Raw genomic sequence first — 16891 nt, forward strand, 5'->3', positions numbered from 1 at the left:
GGTTTTGAGTTTGCCTCTCCAGGGATCCAAGATTGTCATTTTAAAATGAATTTAGCAATGGAGTGATGTTTTGGTTCTTGGTGCCTCCAAAATAGACCCTGAGACAGAGCTTTGAGTGCCAATAGTTTATTTAAAGGTGATCTCGGCCGGGCACGGTGAGTGGCTCACTCCCTTAATCCCAGCACTTTGGGAGGCCGAGGAGGGTGGATCATTTGAGGTCAGGAGTTCGAGACCAGCCTGGCCAATGTGATGAAACCCCGTCTCTACTAAAAATAGAAAAATTAGCCAGGCATGGTGGCGGGCGCCTGTAATCCCAGCTACTTGGGAGGCTGAGGTGGAAGAATCCCTTGAGGCTGGGAGGTGGAGGTTGTGTTGAGCCAAGATTGGACCACTGCATTCCAATCTGGGCGAGAGAGTGAGACCCTTCCTCAAAAAAAAAAAAAAAAAAAAGTGATCTCAGGAAGCATAGTAAGGAAGTAAGATAGGGAAGGGAGGAAACTAGTAAAGAATGTGTTAAAGATTACTACCGTGAGCAACTATATCCCTGGAGCTTTGGACAAGTTGTATTCTGTGCAGCATACCTCAGAATCAACTACTGATAGGGAAGGAAGCAACTTCTCTCCATCTCCGGCTGAGGGACACTCTCAAGGTGTTGACTCTCTGGCACTTTCAGCCTGCCCTGTGAGGGCAAAGTGTACTCTCTCAAGCTGGCCAACATGTCCAGGAAAAGATGCTCAGGAAGTCACTGGCTATATGGGAACTCTTTGCAGGTAACTTCTGGGTAGGCCAAGGATGTGTGAGTAGAGCACCACCAGCAACTTCTACAATTGGATATTAGGTGATATTAGGAAATAATGATTAATTATTATTAGTTGTGATCATGGTATTGCAGTTATGTAGAGAATGTTCTAATTCTCAAGGGATGCCTGCTGAAATATTTATGGGTCAAGTGTCATGATAATTGCAACTACCTTTCAAATGATTCAGCAAGAAAAGTAAACACATAAACACACAGCAAATATAGCAAATGTTAACATTTATTCAACTAAATAGGGGTCTATAGATCTTCATTGTACTATTGTTTCAACTTTTCTGTATGACATTTTTGTCATCAGAATGTTGGGGAAATGTATTCAGCAGATATTTATTGAGTATCTACCATGTGCTAAGTATTCTAAGTATTGAGGATGCCAGTTGCAGCCAAGCCAATATGGTGGCTTTGTCATGAATTAGGGAAAATATGGCTTCTCTAGTCACTCTACTGCCATCTGTGGAAAATTGTTATAATAACTCTACAAAGCTATGATGTCTATAAGATGAATGATGCTTCCAGCTTAATGCTTCCACCACTTAATGCTTCCATAACATTAAGTGGTGATACATAGATGAATAAAACAAGCTCTGCGCTTTTGAAGGTCTTACATCGTAGAGCAGAACGTTAATGATGATCAGGAGCCATGCAGAGTGGCCTCAGGTGCTGAGCAGGGACTTCAGATAAGAAAAATGGTATAATGGCGCCCCTGCTGGAGAGTCAAAGAATTTTGTCATATGACTCGTGCAAGGTCATATAAATCCCTGGAACAGTCCTCTTTCCTAGAACTGACAGAGGGGAGAAATCATTTTTCTGTAAGTAGTTAAGCCCAGTAGTTAACCATTAAGCCTAAGTAGTTTGGCTGTTTGGAGTATTTACAGAGTCCAATACTCCACAGCTTCCACAGTGGCTTAGACCAAGAGGGAAAGAGGAAAAAGCACCCTCGAGTCTGAACATTCCTGGGAATAAAGACCAATCTGGCAGGGTGCAGTGGCTCATGCCTCTAATCTCAACACTTTGAAAGCTGAGGCGGGTGGATTGCTTGAGCCCAGGAGTTCGAGATCAGCCTGGGCAGCATGACGAAACTTCATCTCTACAAAAAATACAAAAAAAAAATTACAAAAATTAGCCAGGCATAGTGGCATGTAGTCCCAGCTACTTGGGAGGCTGAGGTGGGAAGATGGATTGAGCCCAGGAGGTTAAGGCTGCAGTGAGCGTGATCGCACCACTGCAGTCCAGCCTGGGTGAAAGAGCAAGACCCTGTCTCAAAAAAATAAAAAATTAAAAAAAGACAATCTGCTTCCCATTCCTAAGGCCCAGGTACTTCTAGAAGGGTAACAGACAAGGGAGTCCATGACTTTCTGATTAAGGCAAGTATTAGAATCACCTGGGGGAGGTTCCAGTACCTTTCCTTCCTCAGTCCTGATAAGACTTAGAAATTTCATCTTTAACAAGCCTTCCAAGGGACTCTACACAATGGTTTGTGAATCTCCTTTTGAGAACCATGGAGTCAAATTCAAGGTGCAAATTGGGTGCTCTGCCCTGGAAGGGGATGCGTGCACAGGGCTGCCTTATGGGAGGCTGGCTGGGTGGGTACACAGGCCTCACAGTACTTTCTCTGGTATGGGAATGAAGAACAGGAGAGAGAAACAACCAACCAGAATGTGGGAAAGGCCTGCAGGGCAGGGCAGTGATCACTGAGCACTGCCATCCCACAGCCTTTGAGCTGTGACCAAACTTGGTATGACAGAGACAGCAACTCAGGAAATGGCTAGAGGGCCCCAGGGCCAGCAGGGTCATCTGGCCAGGTCACTGGGAATGCCACTGATAGTTTTAAAGTGACAGAAAAACTAGAAATTTGGCAGGCATAGCCTAGCAATGATAGAGTGGTTCTTTTTCTCTTTTTTTTTTTTTTGAGATGGAGTTTCGCTCTGTTGCCCAGGCTGAAGTGCAGTGGTGTGATCTCGGCTCACTGCAACCTCTGCCTCCTGGGTTCAAACCATTCTCTACCTCAGCCTCCCAAGTAGCTGGGATTACAGACGCCCACCACCACGCCTGGCTAATTTTTGTATTTTTAGTAGAGATGGGGTTTCACCACCTTGGCCAGGCTGGTCTTGAGCTCCTGACCTTGTGATCCACCCGCCTCCCAAAGTGCTGGGATTACAGGCATGAGCCACTGCGCCCGGCCAATAGAGTGGTTCTTTAGCAACACAGGGACCCAGTGTGTAGCTGCTGCTGCTGCTGCTGCTTCTTCTTGTCGTTGTCGTCTTCTTCTTCTTCTTCTTCTTCTTCTTCTTCTTCTTCTTCTTCTTCTTCTTCTTCTTCTTCTTTTCTTCTTCTCCTTCTCCTTCTCCTCCTTCTCCTTCTCCTTCTTCTTCTTCTTCTTCTTCCTCTTCTTCTTCTTCTTCCTCTTCTTCTTCTTCTTCCTCTTCTTTTTTTTTTGAGACAGAGTCTTACTCCATCACCCAGGCTGGAGTGCAATGGTGCAATCTCAGCCCACTGCAACATCTGCCTCCCGGGTTCAAGTGATTCTCCTTCCTCAGTCTCCTGAGTAACTGGGATTACAGGTGTGCACCACCATGCCCAGCTAATTTTTGTATTTTTGGTAGAGACAAGGTTTCTCCAGCCCAGGCTGGTCTTGAACTCCTGATCTCAAGTGATCCTCCCTCCTCAGCCTCCCAAATTACTAGGCTCACAAGTGTGAGCCACCGCACCTGGCCTGGTCGTAGCTTAAACGACAATCAGTGATTCTCCAACCTCTCATTCCCCTTTATTAGGATTCCTCCATCACCAGAAATCTTAAACCTTAAAGCAATACCTGAAGGGCTATCTGAATAGGGTTGCCAGATTTAACAAATAAAAATACGGGGCACTCAGGTGAATTTGAATTTCTAGTAAATAACTAACAAATATCTTTTTAGTGTAAGTATGTCCTAGGTAACTACTATGTGCTAATTCATCACAAGCAAATATTTTAAGACTCATTTGTTAAAACATCATTGTTTCTCTGGAATTCAAATTTAACAAGGCATCCTGTCTTTTATCTGGCAGTTCTCCATCTGTCTTCTCCCTTTTTTAGTACATGAAGAAATGAGGTTCAGGGAAGTAAAGGGACTTGTCCAAAGTAACACAGCTATTTAGTGGCAGAGCATGGATTGGAATTCTTTCAAGACGCTTGGCTGCCACATGGCATCTTTTTCCAAGTGTCTAACTTCAGAATTTTAAAATTTGGCTTCTTGAACTACTATGGATGAGCTTTAGAGTGTCAATGAAACCGCTGAAATTGTAGGCAAAACTGTATGTGTGTGTGTGTGTGTGTGTGTGTGTGTGTGCATATGTGTATTTTTCTGGGGAGATGGTCTCCCATCTTAGCCTGAGTGGACTAAGACATCATCCTATGCTCTGCAACCTACCTATATCAAAAACAAAAACTCCTCTGAGCTACCCTATATCCTCCTTTCTTCTTTGCCCTCCATGAATTTTTCATTTGAAGGGAGGAGTCGGAGAACTAAATTTATTTATTTATTTATGTATTTATTTTTGAGATGGAGTCTTGCTCTGTCACGCAGGCTGGGGTGCAGTGTGGTGCGATCTCGGCTCACTGCAACCTGTGCCTCCCAGGTTCAAGTGATTCTCCTGCCTCAGCCTCCCGAGTAGCTGGGATTACAGGTGCACGCCACCACGCCTGGATAACTTTTGTATTTTTAGTAGAGACGGGGTTTCGCCATGTTGGCCAGACTGGTCTCGAACTCCTGACTTCAGATGATCCACCCACCTCGGCCTCCCAAAGTGCTGGGATTACAGGCGTGAGTCACCACGCCCAGCCAGGAGAACCAACTTTAAACAGATACTTATTATACGCTTAGCCCTTTACACATGTTCTACCATTCAACCCTCACATCCACCTAGAAAGTGCCTATGATGATCCCCATTTTACAGGTGAGGAAACCAAGGTGTAGCCAGCTCTCAGGGTTAAGATGATAAAACTAATAAAAGAGTAACCCAAGTGAAAATGCTCCCACAACCAATGCCCTTTCCCCCAAAGCTTCCTGCCTCCAGACTGACAGCAAGCAAGAAACTATCTGTCGGTGTTTAATTCCTCCGCTTCCTCCACCTATTGGGACTGACCCAGAGTTGACAGCGGAAACACCTACACAATAATAGGTAGAAGGTAGCAGAGATGTGACTTTTGCAGTTGACCACTAGAGGTCCCTTTTCATACACAGTGATTTTGAAGTTAGCCTGCTAGGGGTTAGACAAGATATTTCCTTGGAGCAGGTCTCTGTCTGTTACAGACTTCACTGGTCTATCTCATACCAGGCAGTCCGGGAGTGGCCGTGTGACACAGCAGGAGCAATACAGAATAAAATGGCTCCCTCAGAAGAAGGCGGGTGATGTCCTCCAGGATCAGTCTTGAAGACAGGGTTTTCAAGTGGGAACACAGCAGGGTTCTAAAGCTTCCTCTTCATCTAAAAGGAAGAACACACAGGACATTCCACCACCCACCGTCATCAGGCAAACATCCAATTTCCTTTGGAGTGTAGTCTGGCTCCAGGGGCATATTTACTGGAAGCTAATGAAGCTTCGGCTTCAGGGACCCTCATTTGCATAGGCCTGTTCTAAAGGCCCTGACCTTAGTCACTTTATATTTGTAGTTTTGTATTTTTTTTTCCTTAAAGGAATTCCCCTCCACCACCACCACCACCATCAACTGTAAAAACATCAGGCCGCATAGGGCTTGGATCTAGTCCTCTCTGGCTCTAGTTTACAGGATTTCAGAGAAGAGAAAAGAGAATGGGGAGAGTTTCAAAGGGAAGCCCCCCTCGAAACTAATAAGAGGGGATTTCCTGTGGGATGAGAAAAAGCTCCGTACGTGGGCCAAAGAACAAGGTAGTCACTTGATCTCCAAAGAGCTGGAATTGTGGGGGCACCAGACGTGAAGGAGCCCCCTCTTCTTGCCTGCTGGGAGCTTTCCTGAGCCAGCAGGAATTTGCCAAATCTTTAGAAGCAGGGTGGTTCACTGACAGCTCTGTAGCATCCTGTTCACTGCTTTCTGAATAAACAAATGGTCTTGCCAACAATTGTGTAGATTTTGAGGGGGGAAACCACACTATAGTTCCCGAATTTTTTTTTTTTTTTTTTTTGAGACAGAGTCTGCTTTGAAGTGCAGTGGTGTGATCTTGGCTCACTGCAGCCTCCACCTCCCAGGTTCAAGGGATTCTTGTGCCTCAGCCTCCTGAGTAGCTGGGATTACAGGCACAAGTCACCATGCCCAGCTAATTTTTGTATTTTTAGTAGATATGGGGTTTCACCATATTGCCCAGGCTGTTCTCGAACTCCTGGCCTCAGGTGATCCACCCACCTTGGCCTCTCAAAGTGCAAGGATTACAGGTGTGAGCCACCACACCCGGCCTAGTTCCAGAATTTCTATGAGTTGTGATGAGCTACGAACTTTACAAAGGAGTAAATAACCAAGGTGGAAATAACAATTCTGTTTGGGAGATATGAATGGATTCTGGAATAAAAGCAAAAGCAATATCCACACCTTTAGAAGCAGATGCATGGAAGGAGCTGGGAGGTTTTCCATTTCTGAAAGAGGGCAGTGCTGGAAACTTGCAACCAGCAATCTTCTGGAACTGGCTTGCATCGACTGGTGGGAGCTGACTCTGTGTCTCTTCCCAGCTCTGCACTCAGTGACTTCAACTTGATAGCTTGAAATCAGCCACAGTGGGAGTATTTACACCACTGAAATTGGCAATTGGTAAAAATCAGGGCTCTCCGCACTGCTGGTTGTTAACCCTTTACTAGCACATCATTGCCTGAACCTCACCGCTAACATACACACACACACACATGCACACACACACACGCACACAGCACAGAACCTGCAAGCACTCCTCCTGCATATTTATGTGTATGCATAAACACAAAAAGAATCACATATGTACACTTTCCCTTTATAGCCAGCTTGGATCTCCCTGCTCTGTCGTGCTGACAGCTTTAGTGTTTTCCTACTATTTACATCCTGATCTCAGACAGTGATCTCTCTCTTTCTTGAATTCATAATTGTTCTTTCCCTTACATCATGAGACCCTCAGTGTTTCAGGGATGAAGTACCTAATTGTGAAACCTTCTGAGGCAATAAGAGTCAGGCCAGCAGATTACCCTATATATCCCCAAGTGAACAGCAAAGACAATAATACAACAATTGAATGGTCTCCTCCAAATGGAAACCATGTTAAGATGTGGCCAGTGTTCTCTCAAGAAGTTCAAAGGCCTCCCTGAGTTCTCACCAACCTACACCTGTTCCTCTGGCATATGGAGAAACTTGAGATGAGCATCTTTGTGTCAGATGGACAGAAACAGGTCCCAAAAAGTCATGTGACTTGCTGAGGCCAGACCCAACAATGGATGTCACTTCTCAGCCTGAAAACCTTGAGCTGCAAAATATGAAATGAGAAACGTCAGGGAGGGACTGACGTTTGTGTGTCTACTTCAGTCTTTAGTCTTTTTTTTTTTTTTTTTTTTTGAGATGGAGTCTCACTCTGTCACCTAGGCTGGAGTACAATGGCACGATCTCAGCTCACTGCAACCTCCACCTCCCAGGTTCAAGCAATTCTGATACCTCTGCCTCCCGAGTAACTGGGATTACAGGTGCACACCACCACGCCCGGCTAATTTTTGTATTTTTGGTAGAGATGGGATTTCACCATGTTGGCCAGGCTGGTCTCTAACTCCTGACCTCAAGCGATTCTCCTGCCTTGGCCTCCCAAAGTGCCTGGATTACAAGTGTGAGCCACTGCGCCCAGCCTATGAATAGTCTTTGAGCGAGAGATTATTATCCCCAATTTCCAGGGGAAAGAACTAAAGCCAAGGGAATTTCCATAATCTATTTAAGGATATACAGCTAGTAGGTAGTAGAATATCTTGTTAATAATTTAAATCAAATTAAAAAAATCAAATAGAATAACAGGGCTTGTTGGGAAAAACAATTCTTTGCCCTGTTTCTCTCTCCCTCTTCCTTCCCCTAAGTTTGCTCCCCAAGACAATTATTTTAAGACTTTTAACTAGTTCTTCTGTTAGTCACCTTAATACTGTTATATTTCACTAATCAGCTTATTACTAGAATAAGGAGTGCAGCAACTTTGTTTTGTTTATTTTATGGCTATATCCTCAATGTCTAGAACAGTGCTTGGCACATCATAAATATTTGTTTTTAAAGAAAACTCATCATTTCTTTTTTTCTTTTTTTGAGACAGAGTCTCGCTCTGTCACCCAGGCTGGAGTACAGTGGCGCAATCTTGACTCACTGCAATGTCTGCCTTCCAGGTTGAGTGTTTCTCATGCCTCAGCCTCCCAAGTACCTGGGATTACAGGTGCATGCCACCACACCCAACTACTTTTTTATATTTTTAGTAGAGATGTGGTTTTGCCATGTTGGCCAGGCTGGTCTCAAACTCCTGGCTCCAAGTGATCTGCCCACCTCAGCCTCCCAAAGTACTGGGATTACAGGCATGAGCCACCGTGCCCTGCCTGTATACCATCACTTATTGATTTATTAATTGACCTCCTGCTATGAAAGATGAGGATCTAGTACCCTAACATTTTCCTTTTACCTCCCCAACTGCTTTCCATTAAGGTTTTATCAGTATTTTAAATTCCTCAGCTACACCTTTGTAACTATAAGTAACACACATACACCTTTGTTTTCTGTTCCACAACTACAGATATCTTTGGACTTCAGTGTGCAAGTCTTGACTTCATTACAGGGATGTCTAACTTGAGGGTCCACGACCTTCCACTCCATACTGATCCTCCCACACTGACCATTTCTGGGCCAGTGGGTGCCCTTCTGCCTAATATTGGGAAATACGGATTTTGAACTAGAAGCATTCTTGGGCCTGCATCTACTAAAGGAAATTAGACTGAAGTTAATGGAGCGAGTCCTAGCTAGTGTGACAAATTAAAGCTAAATTTAGTTCAGAAGCGTTTGAAAAAATATCCACAGTCCAGATTTTTTGCTGACAATTTCTTGTTCTCTAAGGTGAATTCCTGCCCTTTCCACAAGGCAGGGAATATATTTTACAATAGGAATACTTTGGGTCTAAGAAATTGGTGGATACCCTTGGTTCTCCACTGCTATAATTGGCTCAAAATACCTTGGAAATGCCCCTATGGGTGCCCTGAGGCAAGTGATTTTCTTGGCATGCTATGAAAAGGAGAGTGGGAGCTGAGCACAGCCCTGGTGTAAGCCTGGGTATGGGTTTCACTAGATAAAGTCACTGACACCACGGAGCAGAGGCAGTGAAAGAAAACAGTCATGGCCTTTGTTTTCCCAGGGCCTCTGGCTGGCATTGCACACACAACGCAAACACTGTCCACGTTGGTGCTTTATACAGATTTTTTTTAAGGCCAGTCAAGTGAATCAATGGGAATAGGGAAGGAACAAAGAAATCTGTAACTGGTAGTGATCGATTCGTTGTAAACACCACTGCACTTGCACCAGCCTATATAGATTTTTTTATTTGTGTCCATTGCCTGCCTACTTTCAGAACTCGTTTGTCTTTTATCTGCACTTCCTCATCCCTGGCCACTCCTACTCCTTGTTTTTAAAGCTACCTGCTGGATCTGCAGATCTCAGTTAGACAGGGACTTAATGTACAGGTCTTGTAACTGTCAGGCCTTTGGACTTAGGCAGCACCCAGGGCAGATGGCAGGAGAACTTAGATCAGGGCCCCACAGCCTCTTGCTCGTCCTGTTACCTGAAGAGGAACCAGAGGACTAGCCCCTGCCCCACTCCAGGGCCAACCCTGTGGTTCAGCGGGAGCATACAGCTGTCTGCAAATTGCAACATACTCTGGACACAGTCCATCAACACATCCTGGTCCTTACCCATTATCAGTGGAAACCTGGCAATGTTTGCATAACTTTTGTCCTACACTTAGAGACAATACGTCCTCCACTAGAAGCAGCATCTAGGAGGAAGTAGTGGGGCAGCTCAGGACACAGCAAGACTAGATTTGAATTGCATAAGTTTAGGATTTGGACTTGAACAAAGCCACATCATTAGGTAGGATTACATTCAGTTAGGCATAGTAGAAAAATGTAGAAATGGCTTAAACAAAAATGAGAATGTATTTTCTCTCTTATACTTAAGAAGTCCAGAGATAGTCAGCCCAGGACTGGTATGGCAACATTTGTCCCTACCATGGAAGGAAGAACAAGCTTACAGCCATGCCAGCTGAAAAAGGCCGGGGGAAACCCACCAGCTCTGTAATAGACGTGTACCTGAGGACACCAGCCTTTTAAGTCACAATCCAGCTTACTTAGGCCCTGTACCCATCTCTTTTATTTATTTTTTTTAATTTTTAACTTTTTAAAGACAGGATCTCACTCTGTCACCCAGGATGGAGTACAGTGTGTGATCATAGCTAATTGCAGCCTTCAATTCCTAGCTGTGAGTCATCCTCCTGCCTCAGCCTCCCAAAGTGCCGGGATTACAGGCATGAGCCATGGAGCCCAGCCCTTGCACTTATCACCTAACCCCTAACATGGCTGGTCAAGTTCTGCCTACTGGATCACTGAACACTGAGGATGCAGGCCATGCTGGACGGAGGGGCCTTTGAAAGCTTCGCTGACTAAGACCTGTTGTATCTTAGCTCACCTGGTTCACAGAAGTATATGGATACTGTGTGAGGCAGACTCTGAGAGAGCCCCAATGATCCTTGCTTCCTAATATTCATGCCCTAGAGGTAAACTCCTCCCCTTATATGTGGGCTGGACCTAGTGACTCATTTCTGACAAATAGAATGGGGCAGAAGTGATGGGCTATCAGTTCTGATATGAGGTTACAAGGCTGTGTTTTCTCTTGCTCTCTGGCACACTTGCTCTGGGAGAAGTCAGCTGCCATGTTGTGAGGCTAACTTGGCAAGGAACGGACTTCTCCAGACAACATTGAGGAAAGACAGCAGATGGCCACCTGAGTGAGCTGGAAATGGATCTTCCTCCTATCAAGCCTGAAATGATGCAGCTTCAGCTGATGGCTTGATCACAACCTCATGAGGAATCCTGAGCCAGAGTCACCCGACTAATAACTGGCACCCAGATTCCAAACCCACAAAAACCATGAGATGATAAAAGTTTGCTTTAAGCGGCTAAGTTTTGGGATACTCTGTTATGCAGCAATACGTAACTAATACAGGTTTATATCTTCTTTAAAAAACTCTGCTAGTTTATTCTCATTCTTGACTTTTAAAATTCATTGCTCAATCAGTCCTGAAGTAATAGGTTCAGGTCATGCAGGAATGTGACTACAGAGCTGAGATAACTCATGTGAAAGTAGAGAAACATGTTTACAAGCATCATGAGCGTCTACAAAGAAATACTATAAATCACTTCCTTTATTGAAAAAATTTGTGAGAGTGTCCTGGTAACATGCTTCCAAGGGGAAAAGCAAAATTTTGTGCTCACTGCCTGTTTCCTCTCACAACATGCTGAAAAGTCATTTAATGGTTGTGTACTGATCATATTTGCAAACTTCAACCCTGGTTCAAGGTCAAGGTGCTTGCTCTCTGTGAATGAAGCAGTGTGTGATTGGCATTCAGGAGCAAACTTTTATTCCTAACTAGGAATGTTAGGGTTACTAACACCCTTCTTTGCTAGACACATGGCCAGGGTTCCATCAGTACTGACTCCAACATACATTTTAATTGTTACAGATGAAAAATCTCTTCTACCATAGCATGAGTCTGCAGTGATAAATAGAGTGAAGCATTATTGCGTACTTTTCTCTCATATATGTGGGACACATATCGCAAAGGCTGACTTATGCTCAGCATATCAGCTGTTTCCTTCCCATGTGAAGGGAAATATCTTCTAGGATAGTAATTGCTCCTTGTGATATTATGAAATATATCGTCATCCCCTTTCCTGGCATACATCTCCTACAATCCTTGGACTCTCCAAAGTGATGTGTCTTCTTGTATGCTAATGAGATAACTGGTGGCTGGCAGCCCCTTGGTAGCTTCAGGTTGGGGGCTGACCACCAGAAAGACCAAGGCAGCATTAGAGAGGGTTGGGACTTTTCAGTCCCACCTCCCAACCTGCAGGGAGGAGACGGGGTTGAAGGTTAAGTTGATTACCAATGGCCAATGATCTCATCAATCATGCCTACCTAATGAAGCTTCCATAAAAACCCCAAAGGACAGGGTTTGGAGGGCTTCTGCATAGCCGAACACATGCAGTTTCCTAGAAGATGGTGCCCAGAGAGGGCATGGAAGCTCTGTACCCACTCCCCCAAACCTTACCCTATGCATCTTTTCATCTGGTGTTCATTAGTACCCTTGGTAATATCCTTTATATCAACCAGTAAACATAAATATTTCCCTGAGTTCTGTGAGCCACTCTAACACGGTATTCTAACCCCAGGAGAGGATGGTGGAAATCCTAATTTATAGGCAGTTTGTCAGAAGCACATATAAAACAATGTGAGGCTTGCAATTGGCATCTGAAATGGGGGACTGGCTTAGGGACTGAGCCCTCAATCTATGAGATCTGATGCTATCTCTCCAGGTTTGAATTGAATTAGAGGACACCCAGCTGGTGTCTGCTGCAGAATTGATTGCCTGCTTATTAGTGGGGAAGCCCTTCCCACATTTGGTCAGAGACGTCTTCTGTGTTGACTACTAAGTGAGAGTACAGGCGAAACGGAGTTTGGTTTTATCCTGTATGTTCTTAGACTCTTTCACATTGTATGTTGTTGAATTTTTGCAACAGCTTAGACTGTCACCAGATAAAGGACGTCTGTTTGCTTTCTCTTCAAGCATAAAATGTGTCATTAGCTTTGTAAATAGATTAATACTTTTTTAGCACTAGAGTGATTTATAGCTTTTGTTGCTAAAGAAATATAGATATCAATGATGTGGCTATACTTTTGGTCTTGTCTTTGCCTTTAGATATAAAATTTTCACCTTGAAAAGTATTATTTTGTTCTTATTCTAGGAAAAAAGTATCATTGCTTTTCGGAGAGGTCCCCGTATTTTGTTTGAAAATGACACTAAAAAAGGATGGGTGGCTTATGAACAAGTTCATTATAAACAATACACTGGGCTGGGCCCGGTGGCTCAGGCCTGTAATCCCAGCACTTTGAGAGGCCGTGGCGGGCAGATCATGAGGTCAGGAGATCAAGACCATCCTGGCTAACAAGGTGAAACCCCGTCTCTACTAAAAATACAAAAAAAAAAAAAAAATTAGCCGGCTGTGGTGGCGGGTGCCTGTATTCCCAGCTACTCAGGAGGCTGAGGCAGGAGAATGGCGTGAACCCAGGAGGCAGAGCTTGCAGTGAGCCGAGATTGCCCCACTGCACTCCAGCCTGGGCGACAGAGTAAGACTCCATCTCAAAAAAAAAAAAAAAAAATACTGAGCAGCCGGGCGTGGTGGCTCTGTAATCCCAGCACTCTGGGAGGCTGAGGTGGGTGGATCACGAGGTCAGGAGTTCAAGACCAGCCTGGCCAACGTGGTGAAATCCCATCTCTGCTAAAAATACAAAAATAGCCAGGCATGGTGTGGGGAGCCCGTAATCCCAGCTACTCTGGAGGCTGAGGCAGAGAATTGCTTGAACCTGGGAGGCGGAGGTTGCAATGAGCCCAGATCACACCATTGCACTCCAGCCTGGGCAACAGACCGAGACTCCATCTCAAAAAACAGAAAAGAAAAGAAAAGAAAAAAAAGACACTAAAAAAGGATGGGTGGCTTATGAACAAGTTCATAATAAACAATACACTGAGCGGCCGGGCGCAGTGGCTCACACCTGTAATCCCAGCACTTTTGGAGGCGAGGCAGGCAGATCACTTGAGGCCAGGAGTTCAAGACCAGCCTGGCTAACAGAGTGAAACCCTGTCTCTACCACAAATGAAAAAATTAGCCACATGTGGTGGCACACACCTGTAATCCCAGCCACTCAGGAGGCTGAGGCAGGAGAATCCTTTCCACTTGGGAGGCAGAGGTTGCAATGAGCTGAAATTGTGCCACTGCACTTCAGCCTAAGTGACAGAATGAATGATACTTCGTCTCAAACAAACAAACAAACAAACAATACACTGAGAAGTAGAGATGAATACATTGCTAGCCCAGTGTATCAGTCAGGGTTCCAGAGAAACAGAACCAACAAGATCTCTCTCTCTCCCTGTCTCTGTCTCTATCTATGAATGAAGAGACTTATTATAGGAATTGGCTGATGTGATGATGGAGGCCAAAAAGTCCCATGATCTGTCATTTGGAGATCCAAGTTGGAGAACCAAGAAAGCTGGTAGTGTAATTCAGCCTGAGTCCAAAGTCCTAAAAATCAGGGAGCTGATGGTATAAAGTCCTGGTCCAAGTCCAAAGACCTGAGAACCATGAGTGCTGATATCCACAGAGAGGTGAGATGTACTTCCCAGCTCAAACAGAGAATTTGTCCTCCCTCCACCTTTTTGTTCTATTCCGGCTCTCAATGAGTTAGATGATACCCATGGAATTAGTGAGGACAGATCTTTACTCAGTCTACTGATTCAAATGCTAATCTCTTCCAGAAACACCTCACCGACACACCCAGAAATCATGTTTTACCAGCTATCTGGGCATTTGTTAGCCCAGTCAAGTTGACATGTAAAATTAACCATCACACACGGTAAAATCCAATTTTTGGACACTCATCAGCCCTTTTACTACTATACTGTTATTTTTGAACTATTTATGTAAAAGAATCATATTTTCAGAGGCTTATCCTATCACATACAGGGTCACACTACAGTTTAAGTAGAGTCCTGTTTGTTCACTATTTGCCTTTTTTTTTTTTTTTTTTTGGAGACAGAGTCTCACTCTGTAGCCCAGGCTGGAGTGCAATGGCGTGATCTCAGCTCACTGCAACCTCCACCTCCCAGGTTCAAGTGATTCTCATGCCTCAGCCCCCTGAGTGGCTGGGATTACAGAGCCATCAAACCCGGCTAATTTGTGTATTTTTAGTAGAGGCGGGGTTTCACCATGTTGGCCAGGCTGGTCTTCCTGGCCTCAAGTGATCCACCCGCCTCCACCTCCCAAAGTGCTGGGATTACAGGCATGAGCCACTGTGCCCGGCCAACTTTTGTTTTTTTGAGACAGGGTCTCACTCCATTGCCCAGGCTACAGTGCAGTGGCTTGATCATAGCTCAGTGCAGCCTGGAACTCTTGGGCTCAAGGGATTCTCCTGCCTCAGCCTCCTGAGGAGGTAGGACAACAGGCATGCAACACCATGCCCAGCTTTTTTTTTTTTAAGAGATGGAGTCTTGCTGTGTTTCCCAGGCTGGTCTCAGACTCCTGGCCTCAAGTGATCCTCCTGCCATGGCCTCCCAAACTGTTGGCATTACAGGTGTTAGCCACTGCATCTGGTCACTATTTAACTTTATAATGCTGTTATGATTTGTGGTATTTATATTCCTATGTTCATGATTTTTAAAAAAACTTCAACGGATTTAATATACATAAAATGCACCCTTCTAAAGAATACAATTCTGTGGTTTCTAATATATTCACAGAATTGTGCAAGCATCCTGACTAGTGTTAGAACATTTTCATCCCCACAGAAAGAAACTCTGCATCCCTAAGCATTGACTCCCTATTTCTCCCTCTGCCTTACAGTCCCTGGCAATTACTAATCTACTTTCTGTTTCTATGGATTTGCTTATTCTGGACATTTCATTTAAATGTAGTCACACAATATGTGGTCTTTTCTATCTGACCTCTTTTTTTTTTTTTTTTTTTTTTTTTTTGAGACTGAGTCTCACTCTGTCGCCCAGGCTGGAGTGCAGTGGCGTGATCTGGGCTCACTGTAAGCTCCGCCTCCCGGGTTCACACTATTCTCCTGCCTCAGCCGCCCGAGTAGCTGGGACTATAGGCGCCTGCCACCACGCCCGGCTAATTTTTTTTTATTTTTAGTAGAGACAGGGTTTCACCATGTTGGCCAGGCTGGTCTTGAACTCCTGACCTCGTGATCCACCCGCCTCGGCCTCCCAAAGTGCTGGGATTACAGGCGTGAGCCACCATGCCTGGCCGTTTTTTTCTGGAGATGGAGTCTTGCTCTGTCGCCCAGGCTTGAGTGTAGTGGCGTGATCTTGGCTCACTGCAACCTCTGCCTCCTGAGTTCAAGCGATTCTCCTGCCTCAACCTCCTGAGTAGCTGGGACTACAGGTGTGCATCACCATGCCTGGCTAATTTTTGTATTTTTAGTAGACACGGGGTTTCACCATATTGGCCAAGCTGGTCTCAAACTCCTGACCTTGTGATCTGCCCGCCTCAGCCTCCCAAAGTGCAGGGATTACAGGCTAGAGCCACTGCTCCCGGCCTCTATCTGACCTCTTTAAGTTAGCATGATGATTTCAAAATTCATCCATATTGCAGTATGTGACTTCCTTCCTTTTTACGGCCTAGTATTGTTCAGTGTAGGGATATAACACATTTTTGTTAATTTGTGCATCCTGGATGTTTGTATTGCTTCCAGTTTTGGCTATTTTGAATAATGCTACTATGAACATTCATGTACAAGTTTTTTTGTGGACATGTGTTTTCATTTCTCTTGGCTATATATCTATGAGTGCAATTGCTGGGTCATATAGTAACTCTATGTTTAACATTTTGAAGAACACCTAACTTGTTTTCCATAGTGACTGTACCATTAACAATTCCACCAGCAATGTACAAGGGTTACAATTTGTCCACATTTTCATCAACACTTGTTATTGTCTCTTTTCTATTTTAGCCATCCTTGTAAGTATAAAGTGTCATCTCACTGTGAGGGTTTTTTTTTTTTTTTTTTTTTGGTACAGCTTTATTGAGATATAATTTACCTACATACTGAGATATAATTTACCCATTTAAAGTATACAATTAAATGGTTTTTACTACATTCACAGTTGTGCAACATCATTGCAATCAATTTTAGAACATTTTCATCATCCACAAGAGAAACGTCATACCCTTTAGCAATCTCGTTGAGGTTTTCATTTACATTTCCCTAATATGTAATAACATTGAACATCTTTTCATGTGCTGCTTGGCCACTTGTATACC

The 16891-nt window shown here is 44.3% G+C and overlaps 7 annotated features.

Moving 5' to 3' along the window:
* Window positions 4886-5596: an enhancer, noted in NCBI's record as "OCT4-NANOG-H3K27ac hESC enhancer chr17:28667189-28667899 (GRCh37/hg19 assembly coordinates)". NCBI's record gives its function as "activates a minimal SCP1, AML or CMV promoter by ChIP-STARR-seq in naive and primed H9 embryonic stem cells {active_cell/tissue: H9 hESC(naive and primed)}" and the evidence as "EXISTENCE:reporter gene assay evidence [ECO:0000049][PMID:30033119]".
* Window positions 5088-5317: an enhancer, noted in NCBI's record as "active region_11993". NCBI's record gives its function as "activates an Ori minimal core promoter by ATAC-STARR-seq in GM12878 lymphoblastoid cells {active_cell/tissue: GM12878}" and the evidence as "EXISTENCE:reporter gene assay evidence [ECO:0000049][PMID:35858748]".
* Window positions 5597-6306: an enhancer, noted in NCBI's record as "NANOG-H3K27ac hESC enhancer chr17:28667900-28668609 (GRCh37/hg19 assembly coordinates)". NCBI's record gives its function as "activates a minimal SCP1, AML or CMV promoter by ChIP-STARR-seq in primed H9 embryonic stem cells {active_cell/tissue: H9 hESC(primed)}" and the evidence as "EXISTENCE:reporter gene assay evidence [ECO:0000049][PMID:30033119]".
* Window positions 9526-9820: a silencer, noted in NCBI's record as "tiled region #7119; HepG2 Repressive DNase unmatched - State 1:Tss". NCBI's record gives its function as "represses a minimal TATA promoter and a strong SV40 promoter by Sharpr-MPRA in HepG2 cells {active_cell/tissue: HepG2}" and the evidence as "EXISTENCE:reporter gene assay evidence [ECO:0000049][PMID:27701403]".
* Window positions 9526-10263: a biological region, named in NCBI's record as "Sharpr-MPRA regulatory region 7119".
* Window positions 9762-10263: an enhancer, noted in NCBI's record as "H3K4me1 hESC enhancer chr17:28672065-28672566 (GRCh37/hg19 assembly coordinates)". NCBI's record gives its function as "activates a minimal SCP1, AML or CMV promoter by ChIP-STARR-seq in primed H9 embryonic stem cells {active_cell/tissue: H9 hESC(primed)}" and the evidence as "EXISTENCE:reporter gene assay evidence [ECO:0000049][PMID:30033119]".
* Window positions 10264-10763: an enhancer, noted in NCBI's record as "H3K4me1 hESC enhancer chr17:28672567-28673066 (GRCh37/hg19 assembly coordinates)". NCBI's record gives its function as "activates a minimal SCP1, AML or CMV promoter by ChIP-STARR-seq in primed H9 embryonic stem cells {active_cell/tissue: H9 hESC(primed)}" and the evidence as "EXISTENCE:reporter gene assay evidence [ECO:0000049][PMID:30033119]".

This window comes from Homo sapiens, chromosome 17 (genome assembly GCF_000001405.40).
Source record: "Homo sapiens chromosome 17, GRCh38.p14 Primary Assembly".
NCBI classification, from domain to species: Eukaryota; Metazoa; Chordata; class Mammalia; order Primates; family Hominidae; genus Homo; species Homo sapiens.